Source organism: Homo sapiens, chromosome 14 (assembly GCF_000001405.40).
Source record: "Homo sapiens chromosome 14, GRCh38.p14 Primary Assembly".
NCBI lineage: Eukaryota > Metazoa > Chordata > Mammalia > Primates > Hominidae > Homo > Homo sapiens.
In genome coordinates this window covers 101,713,368-101,734,764 of record NC_000014.9, presented here as the reverse complement: position 1 = coordinate 101,734,764, position 21,397 = coordinate 101,713,368, and the positions used below count along the sequence as shown (strand labels likewise).

Here is a 21,397-nt window from a genome sequence, read left to right as displayed (position 1 = left end):
TGGCCATCTGGTTTCCACTGACTTCAGCTTCATCTCTTCCCCTCCCCGCCCAGCCTTAGTTACGTTGCTTGCAGCGCTCCTTGGGTTTCCACAGCTGCACCCCTGCTGGAGGCCTCCCGTCACCCCACGTCCCCTTGCGTCCCCCCGCGTCCCCCCGCCTCAGCCCACTCTGGCTGCTTGCTTCTCTAACACCTGACTCGGGCTTTTCCTGGGTTCCCTTAGCCCTGTTCTTCCCTTTTCCCTGTTACCAACTGTCCCTGTGGGCAGGGATGACTCTTCTCCACCCACCTGTGACCTGTGGAGGGCACAGCTGTGTCTGAATCATCTCCCTGCCCTGGGCACAGCTTGGAGCACACTCAGAAGTGGGCCTTCAGTGCTGAGGATGGAAGTCTAAAAAAATGCATGAATTCTAACCCAGCCCGGTTGCTAGAAGACTAGAAACTAGCCTTAAAAATGATCTCGCAAGAGTTTCCTTTGGGAGGGAATGGCCTTACATAGAGCCCCGTGCTGGTTATGGGAGGAACCCTCACTGTCACGCTGGGCCACACCGTGTGGAACCTGTCCCCCAGGTGGAGCCTGTGTTGTCTTCTGTGTCTGGTGCGGCTCCGAGGAGCACTGAGTGACCTGAAAGCCCAGAGCATGCTGTGCACTCGCCTTCTTTCCTTTCATGCCACATCTCTGCGGATTTGATTCTCAACGAAATAGCCCAAGGCTGCTGCATGTGAATCTCAACTGCAGTCTGTTTCCCATGCGGAAAGAGGGACGTGAGAAAATCAACCTGCACCTCTGGGAAAATGCTATTTTCTGGGGAGCTAATCTGCTCAGCTTCAGGAGCAGCAAGGGTAACTTGGAGGATGAATCTGCCCCGAAATACAGCAAAGTCACTCTTACCGGGAAAGTGGGAAGAAGATTAATCTGAATAGTAAGAAGTCAGAATTATGGATTATTATCGTCCAAGAAAATGCATGCTCATTAATTGTAAGTTCATAACACAGACAGTGATGACCACTAGATTCACAAATAATCATCCAGCAGGCCTCCTTAGAGATGAAGTTTAAGGAAAACACAATGATTTACTATTCATACTTGGAAGGTATGTGTGGCAGGTTTCACTTTCCAAGGTGGCCAAAATAAGGCCTCCCATCCTGCATGCTCTTTTTTACAATGTGGCAATGATAGTCCTCCTGTTGAGAGGTAGGACTATGTTCCCTTCCTTGAAACCAGGCTGGCCTGTGAGTTTGGTAAAACTTACACGACTGACAAGACTAGGCCGTAAAAGGCAATACACCTTCTGCCCACCTCTCTCAGGACGCTGGGCCTCAGAACACAGCCGCCATGCTAGGAGGAAGCCCAGTCCACACACAGAGGCCAGCACTCCCAGCTGGGATCCCAGCCAACAGGCAACACCAATGCCAGCTGTGTGAGTGAGGAAGCCTTCAGATGACTCAAACACAAGCCACTGACTGCAACTGGATGAAAGACCCAGATAAGCTGAGCCTAGTTAGTCCCCAGGGCTGGGGGAAATAGTCATCCAATGCTTGTTACAAAACACTCATGGCTGTCTTAAGCCACTTGGTTCTGGGGTGATTTATTAGCCAGCAAGAAGTAACTGGAAGGCCGGGCATGGTGGCTGATGCCTGTAATCCCAGGACTTTGGGAGGCCAAGGTGGGCAGATCACCTGAAGTGAGGAGTTTGAGACCAGCCAACGCATGGTGAAACCCCACCTCTACTAAAAGTACAAAAATTAGCTGGGTGTGGTGGCGCATGCCTGTAATTCCAGCTACTTGGGAGGCTGAGGCATGAGAATTGCTTGAACCTGAGAGGCGGAGGTTGCAGTGAGCCAATATGGCGCTGCTGCACTCCAGCCCGGGCAACACAGTGAGACTCTGTAAAAAAAAAAAAAAAAAAGAAGTAACTGGAATAAAATGAAAATTGTGCTTGTAGGACGTGAGCCAAGCAGATACATGCAGTTGATTTGATACAGTTGTTTACACAATGCACACTTCTACATGCACATGTACCTTGCATATTAGATGCATAATTACATCTGCCCCACTTAATTTTCAGATGCTCTCCGAGATGGGTGGGGGGTGCAATGGCACAGAAATGCATTACGTCGTCAGAGTCAAGGCCCCACTGACAATGCGGGTGCTCATTAGTTAAGCAGATATTATTAGGCATGTTTACCTGAGAGGAGAGGAACATTCTGTGAAATAATAAATCTGCTGGTTTCTATTCTTCTCCCTTTGCAGACTGAGTTTTTATTATTTTGATCCCAGTACCCATTAGAAACACAGTGTCTAAATATTGAAATGCTTTGCTTCAAAAGCTGCTAAGATACAGTGGCAAAGGTAGCCTTGCAATGAGGTTTTATCTCCAGAGTCCCAAGTTTTTGAGACAAATCCAATGACGCAGATCTTGTGGTCAAGGATGATGCAATGGCGCTCCAGGAACAATATCAGGCTCTGTGACTTGGGTGCCTTCTGGGTGTGTGGCGTGGTCTCGGTCTGACAATCTCTAGAACAACCCTACGAGGTGGTAATTATTATTCTCATGCTGCAAGGGATATCTCCCACCTCCTAGGTGGACTCAGGTCTTGTGGGGCTTAATGCTTTTAAATTTGGGCTGCCTTTTGAAGGGAAAAGACTACAAAATTATGAATACAAAATGAGGTTAAGGTCTTGGGAGGGGCCCATGCAAGCTGGGGGCTCTGCAGGTAAGCTTGTTTAGCTTCCCAGCAAATCCACCTCTGAGCTTGCAAATTACAAAGCTGGAATTTGAACTCACATCTGCTGGATGCAAAGTCCGAGGTCTTCCTGTAGCATGACCGTCTTCCTGTGTGATGAGAAACATCAGGCTGCCGAGGCCAAACAGTGGGTGCGTCACTTTCCAATGAGGCAGGTGTGCGGGACAGGAAGTGGGAGGTTCTCCTTGCAGGGGAGCGGCTGCTGCCAACATCCCAGCTGGTACCTGTCCCTGAGAATGGTTTGGCAGGTGGGGGCCACTTGAAGTCTCTGCTCCTACACCCCGTCACCCCTCCCAGGCTGCTTTCAGAGGAGGGCAAAGGGTATTCATTCCAGCCTCCAATTTCTTCCTCCCACTCCTCGAAAGCATTTAAGTGAGGAAGGCAGGGAAAACGTAGATGATTCTGCTATTGACAGGAGGCCTTTTTTTCCTGCTGGAAGTAAAAGGAGACACTCTAGCTGGGCAGCCAGCCCCACCCTCCAGGGCTCCATCTGGCCTGGCTGAGGCTGGCCAGCCCCTGCTGTGCATGGAGGGGTGCTGGGAAGCCTACCTTGCTTCACACTTTCCTCTTCCACACCCGGCCTGTGACTCATGCCTGAAACGCCTCCGTTCAAGCAATTCTTCCTTTTATTGTGAAGCACTGCTCTCTTCCGGCTCCTCCCCTAAGTCACCACGCAGGGGAGATTTAAGGGAGAGGTTATTTCCCCACCGTGTTCAGGGACAACCCTGTGATCATGGTTTTGGTCACATAGCTTCCAAGTGAGTGTTGTGCAAACATTTGCTAGGATCTCTCGGGGAGCCTGTTAGAAAAGAAACTCCTGAGCCTGCTCCAGAGCTTCTGTTCAGCAGGCCTGAGGTGGGACCATACACCTGTCTTTTCAGCAAGCCCCCCCCCACCTCTGAGGATGCACCCCAAAGCTAGAGAATTCCTGCTCTGAGCCATCTCTGAAAGCACCAAGAGCCAGGTTTGGTTTTTTGTTGTTGTTGTTGTTGTTGTTGTTGTTTTGTTTTTTTTTTAATTACACCCAGACCTGGGTACCTGAGCAATCACTGTCTCTGGAATCAGTGCAAAGTTACCGGGAGCTGCAGAGGCCCAGACAGACTGGAAGAGGGGAGAGCTTGGCTCTAACCCATGCAGCCTCCCCATTGCCCAAGTCCACCCCCAGACCACCTCCCTGCATTCAACCACGAGCTTTGTAGAGGGCAGGCATGCCCCAGGGGCTCTCAGCATCACCCCCCTGCCCCTACCTGTGACCAGAGTCTCCCTGGACTCTCAGCTCTGTCTTCCCAACTCGAAGAGCCTGCCAGGCCCCACCTGGGTACCCTTGTCCATACTGTAGCTTGGAAACCCTCTCAAGAAAGGAAGCTGGGTTAATTGCAGGCTCACTTTATTTTCCACATTCTCAGAAATCATTGTGCCTAGTTACCTGATATCCAGTGTATTAGTCTGTCCTCATGCTGCTGATAAAGACATACCCGAGACTGGGTAAATTATAAGGAAAAACAGGTTTAATAGGTTTAATGGACTCACAGTTCCACGGGCCTGGGGAAGCCTTACAATCATGGCAGAAGGTGAAAGGCACATCTTATATGGTGGTGGACAAGAGAGAATGGAACCAAGTGGAGAGGGAAACCCCTTATAAAACCATCAGATCTCGTGAGACTTGTTCACTACCACGAGAACAGTATGGGGGAAACCACCCCCATGATTCAAATATCTCCCACCAGGTCCCTCCCACAACACATGGGAATTATGGGAGCTACAATTCAAGATGAGATTTGGGTGGGGACATAGCAAAACCATATCATCCAGTGTCTTGAGAACTCTTGTTTTATATATTTGGTCCAATTTATTTTGACTTTTTCAGGCAGGAGAGGAAATCCAGTCTCTACATTCCGTCTTGTTTGGGAGTGAAAGTGTTCATTTTCTTTTAAAACAGACAATATCCTTCCAAATCTATAGTTAGTTCACTCATCCATCACTCATCCATAACCACTGTTAATATTTTGGTCTACATTCTAAGATATTTTTTTTCTGTGCATATGCGTGCACGTAGCAGGGTCACAAAATCACTCACAATACATCAGATGTGCAAAGAAAATAGAGTGTCTTCATTTTCCTACTTAATTAATCTGATCTTTCTTGAAAGGTACTCTCTGCTGGGTAATACAATGGGGAGAAACATCCATTCTAGTAACCTTGGTCTAATACAAACATTTAACCAGTTCTTTGAGCAGCTCAGCATTCTGAGGCTGAAGTGTTTGGCCAGTGGGGCTTCTGATGGCTGCCACTGTCTACTCCTCTACTCCAGATTGTGTCTGGGCACACAGCTGGTGGGCTGCAGGATTTGGGGGTTCTTTTGGTAGCCAGGAGGAAGGGGTCCTCTGGTCCACACATGTTCTCCAAGTTTCCCTGAGTTTGGCTGCAGAGCAGTTGGCCTGGGCTACTCCATGGAACGGAGTGGTGGCTGTCGAGGAGCAATGAGTCATGGGAGATCAGGTCACGTAGGGTCTTGTGGGCACTGCGAAGACTCTGGCTTTATTTTTCTTTTTTGAGACAAGGTCTCGCTCTGTCACCCATGCTGGAGTGCAGTGGCATGATCTTGGCTCACTACAGCCTCGACCTCCCAAGTTCACGCAATCCTCCTGCCTCAGCACCTCAAGTAGTTGGGATTACAGCCATGCGCCCCTACACATGGCTAATTTTTGTACTTTTTGTAGAGATGGGGTTTCACCATGTTGCCCAGGCTGGTCTTGAACTCCTGAGCTTAAGTGATCTGCCCACCTTGGCCTCCCAAAGTGTTGGGATTACAGGCATGAGCCACCGCACCTGGCCAAGACTTTGGATTTTATCCCAAATGAAATAGGGAAGCCACTGGAGGGCTTCAATGTGGTGGTAGGAGGCAAATACTGATTGAAAAGGTTCAAGAGAAAATGGGAGGAGAAAAATTGAAGATAATAAGAATAGATACTTCCAGCTGGGTGCAGGGGCTCACACCTATAAGCTCAGCACTTTGGGAAGTTGAGGTAGGGATTGCTTGAGGCCAAGAGTTCCAGAGCAACCTGGGAAACATAGCAAGACTCTGTCTCTACAAATTTTTTTTTTAATTTTTTTTTTTTTTGACAGAGTCTCGCTCTGTAGCCCAGGGTGGAGTGCAGTGGTGCAACCTCAGCTCACTGCAACCTCCACCTCCCAGGTTCAAGCAATTCTCTTCATTCAGCCTCCTGAGTAGCTGGGATTACAGGTGCCCGCCAACACACCTGGCTAATTTTTTGTATTTTACTAGAGACAAGGTTTCACCATGTTGGCCAGGCTGGTCTCCAACTCCTGACCTCAGGTGATCCGCCCACCTCGGCCTCCCAAAGTGCTGCAATTACAGGGATGAGACATTGCGCCCGGCCTACAAAAAATTTTTACAAATTAGCGGGGAGTGGTGGTGCACACCTGTAGTCCCAGCTACTAAGAGGCTGAGGTGCGAGAATTGCTTGGGCTCAGGAGATCGAGGCTGCAGTGAGCTGTGAGTATGCCACTGCACTCTGGCCCAGATGGATACTTCCAAAGAGTCTTGCTATAAAGGAGAGCAGAAAGGGAGAGAGAGATTTTATTAGTCCGTTCTCACGTTGCCAATAAAGACATACCCGAGACTGGGTAATTTACAAAGGAAAGAGGTTTAATTGACTGACAGTTCAGCATGGCTGGGGAGGCCTCAGGAAACTTACAGTCATGGCAGAAGGGGAAGCAAATATGTCCTTCTTCATATCTTCATATGGCAGCAGCAAGGAGAAGTACCGAGCAAAAAGGGGGAAAGCCCCTTATTGAACCATCAGATCTCGTGGGAACTCACTCACTATCATGAGAACAGTAGCATGGGGGTAACCACCCCCATGATTCAATTACCTCCCACCGGGTCCCTCCCATGACAAGTGGGAATTATGGTAACCACAATTCAAGATGAGATGTGGTTGGGGACACAGCCAAACCATATCAGAGATCAAGTTTTAATTTTTTTAATGAATGAATTATTATAATGGGAGATGATGGGTTGGCTCCAATAGGGAGGACAAATCAACAATTGGTGGTGGTGGTGGAGCGCTGCTGAAATGGGGGAAGCCAAAACCTGAGTGGAGGGTCAGAATCTTTGCGTGTTTTCCTTCAACCTCGTTCAGCTTAACAGGTGCTGGCACTGTGTTGTAATTGAGCAGGTTGGAGGTTTTTCCCAGGCGAGTATGAGGAAATGAGAGAAAGGTGAGGGGGCTGAAGGTGCACAGGAGAGAGGGGTGGCACAATGGACTATGGAGTCCACATGGGAAGAAGGGGAGTGGGACATGAGGTAAAGAAGGTACAATTATATTCTATTTAACCCAAATGCATCCCAAATGTCACCTCAACATGTAATCAACATTCAGAATTATTAGTGAAGTATTTTACATTTTTTCCCACACTACGACTTTGAAACCTCGCATGTGATTTACACAGACAGTGCCTCTCACTTTGGACCAGGCTCATTTTGAGGGGTTTGTGGCCACTCTGTTGGATGGCACGTAGGGATCTAGAGAAGGAGCGTGGGAGAGGTGGCCGAGCACGGGTAGAAGGCAAGATCATTGGAGGAGCAAAGGTCAGGGAAGGAGGAGGATCATCTCCGTGGAGATTTAAATCGCCAAGAATTAGGACAGGGATTTAGCAAGAGTGACAGTGAACCGGGAGTAGGAGTCGCGTAGGAACAAGACGGAGGGGACTAGGGTCTGCAGAGAACCAGACAGGACAGGCGGCACAGAGCATAGTGTGATGGCACCAGCTTCAAGGCTGGCGGGTTTGGGGAAGGTGGGGGTTGATCTGGAAGTAACTGCAACGGAGGATGCTCCAGGGGCCCGGGTTCCAGTCAGAGCAAGCAGGTGGAGAGAAGCTGTGGGAAGGAGGAGCTGTGGCTCCCGGCGTGTCTCAAGCTCCAGAGGAAACAGTGAGGGTTTTGGGAGTAAGGAGGCCTGGAGGTGGGGTTGGATTAGCAGGTGAGAATGGCCTTACAGGGGTTAGGGCCTGGGGTGAAGTACGACCTGGGGTGAAGTGACGACCTGGGTGTCCTGGGTCTTTGGCGAATGAGGAGAACAGCGTTTGCAGCTGTGCCCTGAGGCTGTTAGAGTGCACTCGCACTCTTTGGCCTGACGTGTAGCCTTTGACACTTTCCATGGTGTAAATACTCCCACCATGGCTCATTTCAAGCTACCAGTGGTTTAACAGCAGGCTTGTGGAATATTTAAACATTTAACAATGGGCTCTTGCAAGCTGGTGCAAGCCAGTTCCTGTAGCAGATAGCTGGGTATAGGGCACCATGGGATAGGTCCTGGAGGTCTCCACAGCAGACAGGGGGAGGGATGTGAGAGCTGAGGGTGTGAGTTGGGGGAGGGAGGCATGGAGATCTTGTCAGAATTACTCAGAGCTCTAACGCCCTTTCTTTTTTTCAGACAGTGTCTTGCTTTGTTGCCCAGGCTGGAGTGCCGTGGCACGATCACGGCTCACTGCAGCCTTGACCTCCCTGGCTCCAGTGATTCTCCCGACTCAGCTTCCAAATATCTGGGATCACAGGTGCACGCCATCATGCCTGGCTAATTTTAAAAATGTTTTTGTGAGTCGGGGTCTTGCTGTGTTACTTAGGCTGATCGCAAACTTTTGAGCTCAATCAATCCACCTGCCTGAGCCTCCCAAAGTGTTGGGATTACAGGCGTGAGCCACCATGTCCGGCCTTTTAACCCCCATTTGACCCCTGTCAGGGAGTCTGCAGAAATAGGCTGCATATCACAATGACTGCTTTTTTTCAATTTTTTTTTTGTTGTGGTAAAATATACATAACAAAACATTTACCATCGTAACCCTTTTTAAGCCTACAGTTTGTAATGTGCAAACATCACCAGCCATCTCCGTTAACTCTTTTCATCTTGCAAAGTGGAAATTCCATACCCGTTAAATGCTAACTCCCCATTGCCCCTCCCAGCTCCTGGTCCCCACCATTCTCCCTTCTGTCTCTATATTTTTGACTACTCTGGGTGCCTCATGTAAGGGGAATCATCTAGTATTTGTCTTTTTGTGACACAGTGTCCCCAAGTTCGCCCATACTGTAGCAGATTGCATAAAGTTCTTCTTCTTCTTTTTTTTTTTTTTTTGAGATGGAGTCTCACTCTGTTGCCAGGCTGGAGTGCGGTGGCGCAATCTTGGGGCTCACTGCAACCTCCGCCTCCCGAGTTCAAATGATTCTTCTGCCTCAGCCTCCCAAGTAGCTGGGATTACAGGTGCCCGCCACCATATCCGGCTAACTTTTGTATTTTTTTTTTAGTAGAGATGGGGTTTCACCATGTTGGCCAGGCTGGTCTCAAACTGCTGACCTCATGATCTACCTGCCTCAGCCTCCCAAAGTGCTGGGATTACTGTTGTGAGCCACATGTCCTTTTTTAAGCCTGAGTGATATTCCTTTGTCTGGATGGGCTACTTTTCACGTATCCACTCATCCACCCACAGACACTTTGGGCTGCTTCCATGTTTTAGCTATTGTTAATGCTGTTGTTATGAACATGGGTGTGCAAATATCTCTTTGACTGCCTGCTTTTAATTCTTTAGGGTATATACTCAGAAGTGGAATTGCTGGATCTTATAGAAATTCTATTTTTAATTTTTGGAGGGATACCTATTGTATTAGTCAGGGTTCTCTAGAGGGACAGAACTAATAGGACATATATATATAGGACATATATATATAGGATATATATATAGGACATATATATATAGGATATATATATAGGACATATATATATAGGATATATATATAGGACATATATATATAGGATATATATATAGGACATATATAGGATATATATAGGACATATATATAGGATATATATAGGACATATATATATAGGATATATATACAGGACATATATATAGGATATATATAGGACATGTATATATAGGATATATATAGGACATGTATATATAGGATATATATATAGGACATGTATATATAGGATATATATAGGACATATATATATAGGATATATATAGGACATATATATAGGATATATATATAGGACATATATATAGGATATATATATAGGACATATATATAGGATATATATATAGGACATATATATATAGGATATATATATAGGACATATATATAGGGTATATATATAGGACACATATATAGGGTATATATATAGGACACATATATAGGGTATATATATAGGACACATATATAGGGTATATATATAGGACACATATATAGGGTATATATAGGACACATATATAGGGTATATATAGGACATATACATAGGATATATATATAGGACATATATATAGGATATATATAGGACATATATATAGGACAGATATATATAGGACATATATAGGACAGATATATAGGGTATATATATAGAGGACATATATATAGGGTATATATGTAGAGGACATATATATAGGGTATATATGTAGAGGACATATATATAGGGTATATATGTAGAGGACATATATATAGGGTATATATGTAGAGGATATATATAGGGTATATATGGATAGCAGATATACAGGGTATATGGATAGGAGATATATACAGGATATATATGGATAGGAGATATATACAGGATATATATGGATAGGAGATATATACAGGATATATATGGATAGGAGATATATATATATAGGACATATAGATAGGAGATATATATATAGGACATAAAATAGGAGATATATATAGATAGGAGATATATATATAGGAGATATGTAGGAGATATATGTAGGATATATATATAGGATATATGTAGGATATATATATAGAATATATAGGATATATGTAGAGGATATATAGAGGATATATATATAGAGGATATATATATAGAGGATATATATATAGAGGATATATATATATAGAGGATATATATATATATAGAGGATATATATATAGAGGATATATATATAGAGAGAGGATATATATAAAGGATATATATATATACAGGATATATATATATAGAGGATATATATATAGAGGATATATATATAGAGGATATATATATATAGAGGATATATATATAGAGGATATATATATAGAGGATATATATAGAGGAGATATATATATAGAGGATATGTATATAGAGGATATATATATATAGAGGATATGTATATAGAGGATATATATATATAGAGGATATGTATATAGAGGATATATATATATAGAGGATATATATAGAGGATATATATAGAGGATATATATAGAGAGGATATATATAGAAGATATATATAGAGGATATATATATAGGATATATATAGGATATATATATGGGATATATATATAGGATAGTTTATATGTATGTATATGGGACATATATATAGTTTATATATAGTTTATATACACATATAGTTATATATACATATACATATATGTTTGTATATATACATATATAGTTATATATACATATATAGTTTATATATATATATGGGACATATATATATATATGGGATAGTTTATTAAGGAGCATTAACTCACACAATCACAAGGTCCCACGATAGGCCGTCTCAAGCTGAGGAGCAAGGAAGCCAGCCCGAGTCCCAAAGCTGAGGAACTTGGATTCCGATGTTCGAGGTCAGGAAGCATCCAGCACAGCAGAAAGATGCAGGCTGGGAGGCTGGGCCAGTCTAGTCTTTTCACATTCTTCTGCCTGCTTTATATTCTGGCCTCTCTGGCAGCTGATTAGATGGTGCCCACCCAGATTAAGGGTGGGCCTGCCGCTACCAACCCCCTGACTCAAAGTTAATCTCCTTTGCCGACACCCTCACAGACACACCCAGGATCAATACTTTCCATCCTTCATTCCAATCAGGCTGACACTCGGTATTAATCCTTACACCCATATTGTTTCTACAGCAGCTGCACCTCTGTAATTCCCACCAACAGTGTACAAGGGGTCCAATTTCTCCTCATCTTCCCCAACACTTATTTTCTGTGTTTTTTTTTTTTTTTTTATGGTACATCTTAATGGATGTGAGCTGGTATCTCATTGTAGTTTTGATTTGCATTTCTTTAATGTTAGTGACTTTTAATTTTAATTTTAATTTTTAAATTTTTTTCTTTTGTAGAGACAGGGTTTCACCATGTTGTCCAGGCTGGTCTTGAACTCCTGGGCTCAATTGATCCTCCTTCCTCAGCCTCCCAAAGTGCTGGGATAACAGGCATGAGCCACCATGCCTCTGGCTTTTAATAAACATTTTTGTATGTCTTCACTGTGATGAGCCACCTAGATCCCCCTTCCGGGAAGGACTTGTTACCCCAGCTGCTTGGGGTGCCTTCAACTCTCAGTCCCTTCAGAGACTGTTCAGCTGCAAAGAGCCACCCTGTCCAAAGCCGGGACTCTTCCTGGGCAACTGCATTCAACGACTCCTCAATGTGGGGACCACCTCTGCCCGAGTCAGGAAGGTCTCCCGGGGCCACTCTAGCTTGGAGGCTACTGTTTGGTCTTTGGGGCTATCACTGGGTCTGCATGGAAGTTTGCCTTCTCCCTCGTCCAATCCTGCTTCTCTCTCCTCCTTCCACCGATGCCGAGGCAAGCCCCTCGTAAACATCCTGTGGTACCTCCCTAAGAACCCAACGTGCCAGGCTCGCTTTACGTAGACTGGCGACCGGAGACTGATTTCTTTGGCATGAGTCAGCTTGATGGGGTGGGAAGATGTCCGTTTTAATTTGCATCTCTTTGTTAACTGTTGAGGTTGAACTTTTTTTTTTTTTTTTTTACAAGCATTGACTGAATGACTTCCTTTGTGGATTGCCTTTGCGAATGACTTCCTTTGCCTGTTTTTCTACTGAGATGTTTGTCTTTTTCTTATTGGTAAGAGTGCATATATATATTACCGTCATAAAGATATAATCTTTGCTTTTCGGATATGGTTCACAAAATGTTCTCACGTTTTCCCCAGTCAGCCGTGTGCCTGTTACTTTTGTGGTTCAGGGCACAGGCGTAGCCACACTGCCCCACCGCTTCCTAGCTCTGTAGCTTTGGGTGCATTGCTTCACCTACCAGAGCCTTTGCAGTACCTTGTAGGTTTGTTGTGGGAATTAAATGAGTTAATACAGTACTTATAACAGGGCCTGGAATACAGCGAGTATGAGATAATTATTTGCTATTTTTATTAGTGTCTATCTTATTTTTCTTATTGGCCATATGTATAGTATTGTATTTTCTGTAGTTAAAGCTATCTTTTGTGGTTTTTGTCTTTGGAGTGATATGTAGAAAGAACTTCTTTATTTTTATTTTATTTTATTTTTGTAGAGACACGGTCTCATTATGTTGCCCAGGCTGCTCTCAAACTCCTGGGCTCAAGTGATCCTTCTGCTGCAGCCTCCCAAAGTGTTGGGATTATAGGCGTGAGCCACTGTGCCCAGCCAGCTTCTTTATTTTAAGATTATATAAGTATTTACCTCCATTTTCTCTTTAGTACCTTTATTACCGGTAGAAGGTGTCCAGGTTCTTGGTGTCTTGAACAAAGAAGTGGACAAAACGCACAAACAAAGCAGGGAAGGAAGGAAGGGATTTACTGAAAACGGAAGAACCCTCCACAGTGTGGGGGCAGGCCTGAGCGTAGGGGCTCAAGGGCCAAGTTACAGAATTTTTGGGAGTTTAAATACCCCCTAGAGGATTGCACTGGTTACTTTGGGTATTCCTGATGTAAATGGAGAGATCAAAGTAAAGTTACACAGTCATTTAAGGCGTATGCCCTATGGAGAGGGTGTTTCCTGTCATAGCTGAAGTGTGAATCGGCCTTCTGTTCCCTGCCTCCAGACCCTATTTTCCTGCCATGAAGCCTTCATGATTTCATATATATATATTATATATATATAATATATATATATTATATATATATTATATATATATAATATATATATTATATATATAATATATATATAAATAAATATATTTATATATAAACATATAATATATTATTTATATATATATCTCCATATATGTGTGTGTGTCTCTGTCTGTCTGTCTATCTATCTATCTATCTATCTATCTATCTATCTATCTATCTATGTATCTGCAGAGAGAGAGAGAAGAGACAGAAAGAAAGAGATAGGGTCAGGGTCTCACTCTGTCGCCCAGGCTGGAGTGCAGTGGTGTGATCTCGGCTCACTGCACCCTCCACCTCCTGGTCTCAAGTGATCCTCCCACCTCAGCCTCCCAAGTAGCTGGGACAATAGTCACACACCACCATGCCTGGCTAATTATTAGCATTATTTTTTATTTTTTGGTAGAGACAGAATCTTATCGTGTTGCCTAGGCTGGTCTCGAATTCTTGGGCTCAAGCCATCCACCTGCCTCAGCCTCCCAAAGTGCTGGGATTATAAGCGTGAGCCACTGCGCCTGGGCTAAAAATATATATGTTTGGATCTTACATCCATCTGGAATTCAGAATGTATTTTGATGTGAGGTTTAATAGATCCATATTTCTTGAGTATCCAACATTCCTTTTCGGCCCCAACTGGCCCCCTCTTTAAAAAAAATTGATACTGTTAAATAAACGTTTTCTTTTAGGACGGCTCTAGAGGCACAGAATCATTGTGAAGCTAGTACAGAGCGTTCCGTACCTCTCACATGACCTCCCTGATTGCGAACATCTCGCAGCATGTGGTACAGCTGTCACCATTACGGCACCGTTATTGACACCTTAAGTCCACACTTTATTCACATTCCCTTAGTTTTTCCCTAATGTCCTCTTCCTGTTCCACGATTCCACTCAGGACCCCACGTGACATTCAGGTGACATGCCTCCCTAGGCTCCTCTCGACGGTGACAGTTTGAATGTGACAGTTTTGAGGATAAGTGGCCGAGTGCTTTGTAAGATGTCCCTCAGTTGGGATTTGTCTGATGTTCTCATGGTTAGACTGGGGTTATGGGAGGCCATTTCATCACATCAAGGTCAAGGGTCCGTGCCATCAACGCCACTTATCCCTGTTGATTCTGGCCTTGACCACCTGGCGGAGATCATGTTCATAGGGTTTCCCCTGAAAATAAAAACGGAGCTCCTCCCCCTGGCCTGCCCCTGTGCTGTCCTCTTGGGATGCGTCTGTCAGTGCAGCCCACGCTCCCGAGCTGGGAGTTCTGCTGCTCCTCCTTGAGGGAGGTGTTTCTGCATACATTAGGTGGAATTCTTCTGCGGGAGATTCACCTCCTCTCCCCTCTTCAGGTGTTTATCCAGTCATTGATCTGTATCCCCACAGACTCAAGGACATTTGTTTTCTGCTTTGGGTCATAACCCAGTACTGTTTTATTTTGTGGCTCCAATTGTCCCAGCCTAGGCCGTTGAGAGCTCCTTCAGGGGCCTCCTGGGTCCTTCGTCATCTCTGTGGGTTCCTTCTGAGTTCCCTGTTTCATGTCTGGCCCCTGTGATCCACTGTGTCCTGTGTCCCGTCATCCCTGTGTCCTGTGTCCCATCATCTCTGTGTCCTGTGCCCTGTTGTCACTGTGTCCTGTCGTCACTGTGTCCTGTGTCCTGTGTCTCATTGTCACTGTGTCCTCTTGTCACTGTGTCCTGTGTAAGCTGCTGCTTGGCCTCTGTGAGTCTCTCAACACAGCCCTGAGCTTCTGGAGGGAGTGCTTCCTGTCTATGGAAGTTGTTGAGCGGACAGGCACACAGCTGGAGAGTCACTCCAGGACAGAACCCAGGGAGGAAAGGGCCGCTGGGAGAGGCATTCGTAGAAACAGACAGACGTGGGGCCCGAAGAGCCCTGGAGACTGCTGCGCCCAGATCTATGCTTGGCCTATTCAGTTCTTGAGCTAAGAATCCTTCCTACTCCCCTCCCCTCCCCTCCCCTCCCCTCACAGCATATGGTACATTTGTCACCATTATAGCACCATTTTTGACATATTAAATCCACCTTTTATTCAGATTCCCTTAGTTTTTCCCTAATGTCGTCTTCCTGTTCCACGATTCTACTCAGGACTCCACGTGACATTCAGGTGACATGCCTCCTTAGGTCCCTCCCCTCCCCTCCCTTCTCCTCCCCTCCCTTCCCCTTCCTTCTCCTTCCCTGCTCCCCTGCCCTCCCCCTCCTCCCCTCCCTTCCCCTTCCCTCCCCTCCCCTCTCCTCCTCTCCCCTCTCCTCCCCTCTCCTCCCCTCTCCTTTCCTTTCCTTTTTATTGACACAAGGTCTCACTCTGCCACAATCTTGGCTCCAGCCTCAACCTCCAAGGCTCAAGCAATCCCCTTACCTCAGCCTCCCGAGTAGCTGAGACTATAGGCATGTGCCAGCACACCAAGCTATTTTTTGGTATTTTTTGTACAGACAGGGGTTTCACCATGTTGCCAAAGCTGGTCTCGAACTCCTGAGCTCAAGGGATCTGCCCACCTCGGCCTCCCAGAGTGCTGGGATTACAGGTGTGAGCCACCATGCCCAGCTAGAAATTTTCCTCTGGTTAAAGTGGTTTAATTTAAGTTTCTGTCATTTGCAACCAAACGATTTAATAGATAAGGCTCTGGGTGGCATTTTCTTCTGCTTAGGCTGCCATAAGAAGTGCCACAGACTGGGTGGCTTAAACAGCAGAAACTTGTTTCTCACAGTTTTGGAGGCTGGAAGTCCACATCAGGGCGCTCGTGGGGTTGGTTTCTGGGAAGGCCTCTCTTCCTGGCCGGCGGGTGTCACCTTCTCACGGCATCCTCCCATGGCCTCTTCCCTGTGCACACTTAGAGAGGGGGTGGTCTCTGGTGTCTTTCCTCTTGGTATAAGGACTCCAACCCTATTGGCTTGAGGGCCCACCCTCGTGGCCTCATAACCTTAGCTACCTCCCTGATGGCCCTATCTTCGAATGTGGTCGCATTGGAGGCCAGTGATTCAGCACCGGAATTTCTCTGAGAAATCCAGTCTGTAACAGGTTGAATTGTGTCTGCCAAAATCCATGTGTTGGAGTCGTAACTCCCAGCGTCTCAGAATGTGAACTTATTTGGATACAGGGTCATTGCAGATGTATTGAAGTGAAGATGTGGTCATTAGGGTGGGTCCTAGTCCACCTGACCGATGTCTTTATCCAAAAGGGGAAATTTGGACACAGACACGCACACAGGGAGAGGGCCACGTGTGGATTGGAGTTCTGCTGCCCCAAGCCAAGGAACCAGCAGAAGCTCTGAGGGAGGCCAGGAACAGGCCCTTCCTAGCGCCCTCAGAGGGAGCACAGCCCTGCCTGCACCGTGGTCTCAGACTTCTGACCTCCAAAACTGTGAAGGGGTCGTGTCTAGTCCAAGCCATGATATTAGCCAGCAAGGGCTGCTGTAACAAATCTCACAGACGCAGGGCTTCAACCACAGAAATGTGTCCTCTCACGGTTCTGGAGGTCAGAAGTCTGAGACAAAGATGCCGGCAGAGCTGATTTCTCTGGAGGCCTCTCTCCTTGGTCTGCAGGCGGCCGCCTGCTCGCTGCACCCTCACATGCTCTATTTTTATGCACTCACACATCCCTGGTGGCTCTTTGTGTGTCTGAATCACCTCTTTTTTTTTTTTTTTTTAAAGGATGTCAGCCGGGTTGGATTAGGGCCAACCTAAGGGCCTCAATTTAACTCAATCACCTTTTTAAAGGCCCAGTCTCCAAATGCAGCCACATTCTGAGGTACTGGGGGTTAGGGCTTCAACACAGGAATCGGCGGGTGAAGGGTGGCTGGGGGACACAGCCTGTGAGCTTTGTTATGGCAGCTCGAGGAAACTCTGCAGCCTCTAGAGGATTGTCTTTAAGGGGCTGGACCCTCAAGCCGGCTCTGTGCAGTCCCAGGGTGGTCTCCTCTGGTCCTGCCCTCTGTGCAGACCCTCAAAGCGACAGCCTGGCCTGTGACTCCCAGTGCCGCGGCCCCTCCCTTCCTTCCCAGGTCCTCTCCGCTCTCTGCCCACATTAGAATCTCCCCGGCTGCCCATTCACAGGCACCTCCTGCATCCCCACTTCCACTGCGCCCGCTGGATAACTGCACCTGTGCATTCTAAATAAAGATGCATTTATTGAGCGTCTAGGGATCTGCCCTGGCAGTTCCCATGGTCTAAAAAGGAAGTCAGACAAGTAAAGACTGCGGGTTATGAGATAATTACAACTGGGCACTGTCTGGGTCAGACACTTCCCTCCACAGCCCATGTCCTGCAGCCAGCAGGGGCGCCTTTTCCTTGTTGGCACAGAGACTCCTTGCAGTCCAGCCGAAGAGGGGTCACAGGGTGGGCATTCTGGGAGCCAAGGGTGGCTCTGCTGAGGAGTGCACCCAGAGCTGGGTGTCGGTTAAACTCTCCTGTTGAGAGGCTGCCCAGGTGGCGGTGCGCAGCAGGGGGCTCTGACTCGGGAATGTGGGCAGGTGCAGCGGCAGGAGAGCTGAGAGGTGCAGAGATGGGTCAGGGGCCTGGGAGAGTGCAAGGGAGAAACATGTGAAGGCATGAGCCAAGGCAGCCACTGTGGGAACGAGAGGTTGACACGGGTGCCAGAGGAATGGAGAGCTGGTGTCCTGCAGGGGTGACTGGGGCAGGAAGCTACCCGCTGGCAGGCCTGCCGAGGGGCTGGGATGGGTGAGGTTAGTGCTGGGTCAGCGGTTCCACTGCAGTCTGTGTCAATTTGAAATTCTATGCCTGCGGAAGAGGGAGAGCCTCCCAATCTTCAACACTGCAGCCAGCAGTGGAGGGGATGCAGCCTCCAGTTGGCGTCTTGGCTTGGGGTGGGGCAGGCAGGTCAGGGGGTGTTGCTCAGACCCAGTGGACAGACCTTGATGAGTTCTCACCAGTGTGACTCTCCATGCTGCCCCCCACCGGCCCTCACTGGCCACGTCCTGTTCCATACTCAGGTTTCTGACCCATGATATGGTTTGGATCTTTGTCTCCGCCCAAATCTCATGTGGAATTGCAATCCTCAATATGGAGATAGGGCTTCGTGGGAGGCAGCTTTGCCAGGCCTGGAGGTCACCACCTGGTCAGCCATTGGATTTATTCATCCCAAAGGGGACTCTTGGCTTCGCTTGGGGTGAATGTCCACAGGTCCCAGATGACCCAAGAGTGGAGGCTGGAAGTGGAGCTGCCCTTGGAGAGAGGCCGGCACTGGAGTGCTGTAGTCCGTTCTTGCACTGCTATAAAGAAATACCTGAGACTGGGTAATTTATAAAGGAAGCAGGTGTCATTGGCTCGTGGTTCCACAGGCTATACAGGAAGCATGGCAGCATCTGCCTCTGGGGAGGCCTTGGGGATCTTTGACTTATGGCTGAGGCCAAGCAGGAGCACCAAGGTGGGTGGTGTTAAACCATGAGAAACCGCCCCAAGATCCAGTCACCTCCCACCAGGCCCCACCTCCAGCACTGGGGTTTGCAACTGCAGTATCCCCACCTCTCCCCAGACTTTCCCGGACAATCACTTGAAGACCTGCAAGACAGAGAAGCAGATGCCCCCGAAGCTTCCACTCACAGCCCTGCAACACCTGGGCTGCCTGCCTCCCTCTGTAGTATCACACACATTTAACTCATCGACCCAAGAGTGAGATCAAGATCTTCACTGCTTGTGCACGCATGAGGGGAGGGCGCCTACAACTCAGATGATCCAAGCACTGGCGCCAAAGGCTCAGAATCCTCTGGACTAGCTCTGCCCAATAGGGATGTCATGTGAGCCACAAGTGCGAACCACGTAGGTGTTAAAAAATTCTTAGTGCCCACATTTCAAAAGTAAAAAGAAAAAGATGACATTGATTTTAGTAATATATTTAATGTAGTCCAAGATATGCTCAAAATATTATCATCGCAACATGCCATCAAAATAAAACTTATTAATGAGATATTTTGCCTTCATCCTTTTTTCCTACTAAATCTTTTTTTTTTTTTTTTTTTTTTAAATTGAGAAGAGGCTCACTCTGTAACCCAGGCTGGAGTGCAGTGGCATGATCATAGCTTACTGAAGCCTCGACCTCCCAGGCTCAGGGTATCCTTCCACCTCAGCCTCCTGGGTAGATGGGACTACAGGTGCCTGCACCATGCCTGGCTAATTTTTAAAAATTTCTACAGAGACAAGTTCTCTCTATGTTGCCCAGACTGGGAAATTTTTTTCTAGAAATGGGGTCTTCCTATGTTGCCCAGGCTGGTCTCAAGGGATCTTCCCACCTCAGCCTCCCAAATTGTTGGGATTATAGGCCTAAGCCACTGTACCCAGCCTTTATACAGAATCATTACATTTCAGTGTATATTTTGCATTTTATAGCCCATCCCAATTCATACTGGCTCAGTAGCCACATGTGGCTGGTAGCTGTGTCTTGGTTGTTATAGGTGTTATGGACTAAACGTTTGTCTCCCCCAAATTCATGTGTTGAATTCCTAACCTTCAACACAAGGATATTCAGAGGTGGGCCTTTGGGATGTAATTAGGTCATGAGGGTGTGGCCCTCATGAATGGGATTAGTGCCCTTATACGAAGAGACAGTGGAGTTTGCTCCTCCTCTGTCTGCTGTCTGCCATGTAGGACACAATGAGAAGGTGGCTATCTACAAACCTGGAAGTGAGCTCGTATCAGACAGGGGATCTACCAGCACCTTGATCTTGGACTCCCCAGACCCTAGAACTCTAAGAAATAAATCTGTTATTTAAGCCACCCATTTAATGGTAGTTTGTTACCACAGCCTGTCTTAGTCCATTTACTGTGGCTTATAACAGAATACCTGAAACTGGGTAATTAATAAAGAAACAAGATTTATTTCTTACAGTCCTGAAGGCTGGGAAGTCCAAGGTTGAGAGGCTGCATCTGGTGAGGGCCTTCATGCTAGCAGGGACTTTCTGCAAAGTCCCAAGGCAGCCCAGGGCATCACAAGATGAGGGGCTGAGTGTGCAAGCTCAGTTCTCTCTCCTTGTTATAGAGCCACAAGTCCTACTCCCAAGAACATCCATTAGCCCATTACTCGCTGAATGGAGTAATCTACTCATGAGGGAAGGGGACATATGACATAATCACCTCTTAAAGGCCCCACCTCCCAATACTGCCACATTGGGGGTTAAATTTCAACATGAGGAAGGAGACAAACATTCAAACCATAGCATAGTGCAAGCCAGGGAAGACAGTAGGTCTAGTATGGCCCGGGATAAGAAGGGAACTGCTAAAACCATGCTTGAGCAGGAGACAGCCAGTGAGACACTAGAACCAGCCTTTGTAGCCACAGCAATGGACCAAGAACACTCAGCATCTTCTCACCTGCTTGTCAAGACATTAGAAAGAAAAGCGGTGCTGCAAGATTATACTTGGGTGAGATCTCAGTGGGTGGGGTGAGATGACAGTGGGTGGGGAGAGATGACGGTGGGTGGGGTGAGATCTCGGTGGGGTGAGATGACAGTGGGTGGGGTGAGATGACGGTGGGTGGGGTGAGATGACAGCGGGTGGGGTGAGATGACAGTGGGTGGGGTGAGATCTCGGGTGAGATGACAGTGGGTGGGGTGGGATGACAGTGGGTGGGGTGAGATGACGGTGGGTGGGGTGAGATGACGGTGGGTGGGGTGAGATGACGGTGGGTGGGGAGAGATGACAGTGGGTGGGGGGAGATGACGGTGGGTGGGGGGAGATGACGGTGGGTGGGGAGAGATGACGGTGGGTGGGATGAGATGACGGTGGGTGGGGAGAGATGACGGTGGGTCCGGAGAGA

At 46.9% G+C, this 21,397-nt stretch overlaps 2 long non-coding RNA genes across 2 annotated transcripts in view, besides 6 other annotated features; one reads left to right on the top strand and one right to left on the bottom strand.

The window, feature by feature from the left end:
- Positions 1–2,239: 2,239 nt before the first annotated feature.
- Positions 2,240–4,328, bottom strand: LINC00239 (long intergenic non-protein coding RNA 239). The gene is made up of 4 exons (NR_026774.1): positions 4,278–4,328; positions 3,297–3,408; positions 2,789–2,977; positions 2,240–2,529 (listed from the first exon to the last, which is right to left on the bottom strand). It is a non-coding gene; the product is annotated as a long intergenic non-protein coding RNA 239 (long non-coding RNA).
- Positions 2,694–3,893: an enhancer, noted in NCBI's record as "P300/CBP strongly-dependent group 1 enhancer chr14:102197209-102198408 (GRCh37/hg19 assembly coordinates)". NCBI's record gives its function as "activates an origin of replication core promoter dependent on BRD2, BRD4, P300/CBP, MED14 and CDK7 cofactors, with strong dependence on P300/CBP, by STARR-seq in HCT116 cells {active_cell/tissue: HCT116}" and the evidence as "EXISTENCE:reporter gene assay evidence [ECO:0000049][PMID:35650434]".
- Positions 2,762–2,861: an enhancer, noted in NCBI's record as "active region_9044". NCBI's record gives its function as "activates an Ori minimal core promoter by ATAC-STARR-seq in GM12878 lymphoblastoid cells {active_cell/tissue: GM12878}" and the evidence as "EXISTENCE:reporter gene assay evidence [ECO:0000049][PMID:35858748]".
- The window catches only part of LINC02320 (long intergenic non-protein coding RNA 2320), a 102,958-nt gene continuing 85,019 nt past the window's right edge, over positions 3,459–21,397 (top strand). Inside the window, exon 1 of the long non-coding RNA NR_184269.1 lies at positions 3,459–3,711. This is a non-coding gene — a long non-coding RNA (long intergenic non-protein coding RNA 2320). The remainder of the gene's footprint in view (positions 3,712–21,397) is intronic.
- Positions 3,592–3,651: an enhancer, noted in NCBI's record as "active region_9043". NCBI's record gives its function as "activates an Ori minimal core promoter by ATAC-STARR-seq in GM12878 lymphoblastoid cells {active_cell/tissue: GM12878}" and the evidence as "EXISTENCE:reporter gene assay evidence [ECO:0000049][PMID:35858748]".
- Positions 11,589–12,529: an enhancer, noted in NCBI's record as "H3K27ac hESC enhancer chr14:102188573-102189513 (GRCh37/hg19 assembly coordinates)". NCBI's record gives its function as "activates a minimal SCP1, AML or CMV promoter by ChIP-STARR-seq in naive H9 embryonic stem cells {active_cell/tissue: H9 hESC(naive)}" and the evidence as "EXISTENCE:reporter gene assay evidence [ECO:0000049][PMID:30033119]".
- Positions 12,290–12,369: an enhancer, noted in NCBI's record as "active region_9042". NCBI's record gives its function as "activates an Ori minimal core promoter by ATAC-STARR-seq in GM12878 lymphoblastoid cells {active_cell/tissue: GM12878}" and the evidence as "EXISTENCE:reporter gene assay evidence [ECO:0000049][PMID:35858748]".
- Positions 16,116–16,321: a silencer, noted in NCBI's record as "fragment chr14:102184781-102184986 (GRCh37/hg19 assembly coordinates)". NCBI's record gives its function as "represses an EF-1alpha promoter that drives an FKBP-Casp9 reporter gene in an ReSE screen in K562 erythroleukemia cells {active_cell/tissue: K562}" and the evidence as "EXISTENCE:reporter gene assay evidence [ECO:0000049][PMID:32094911]".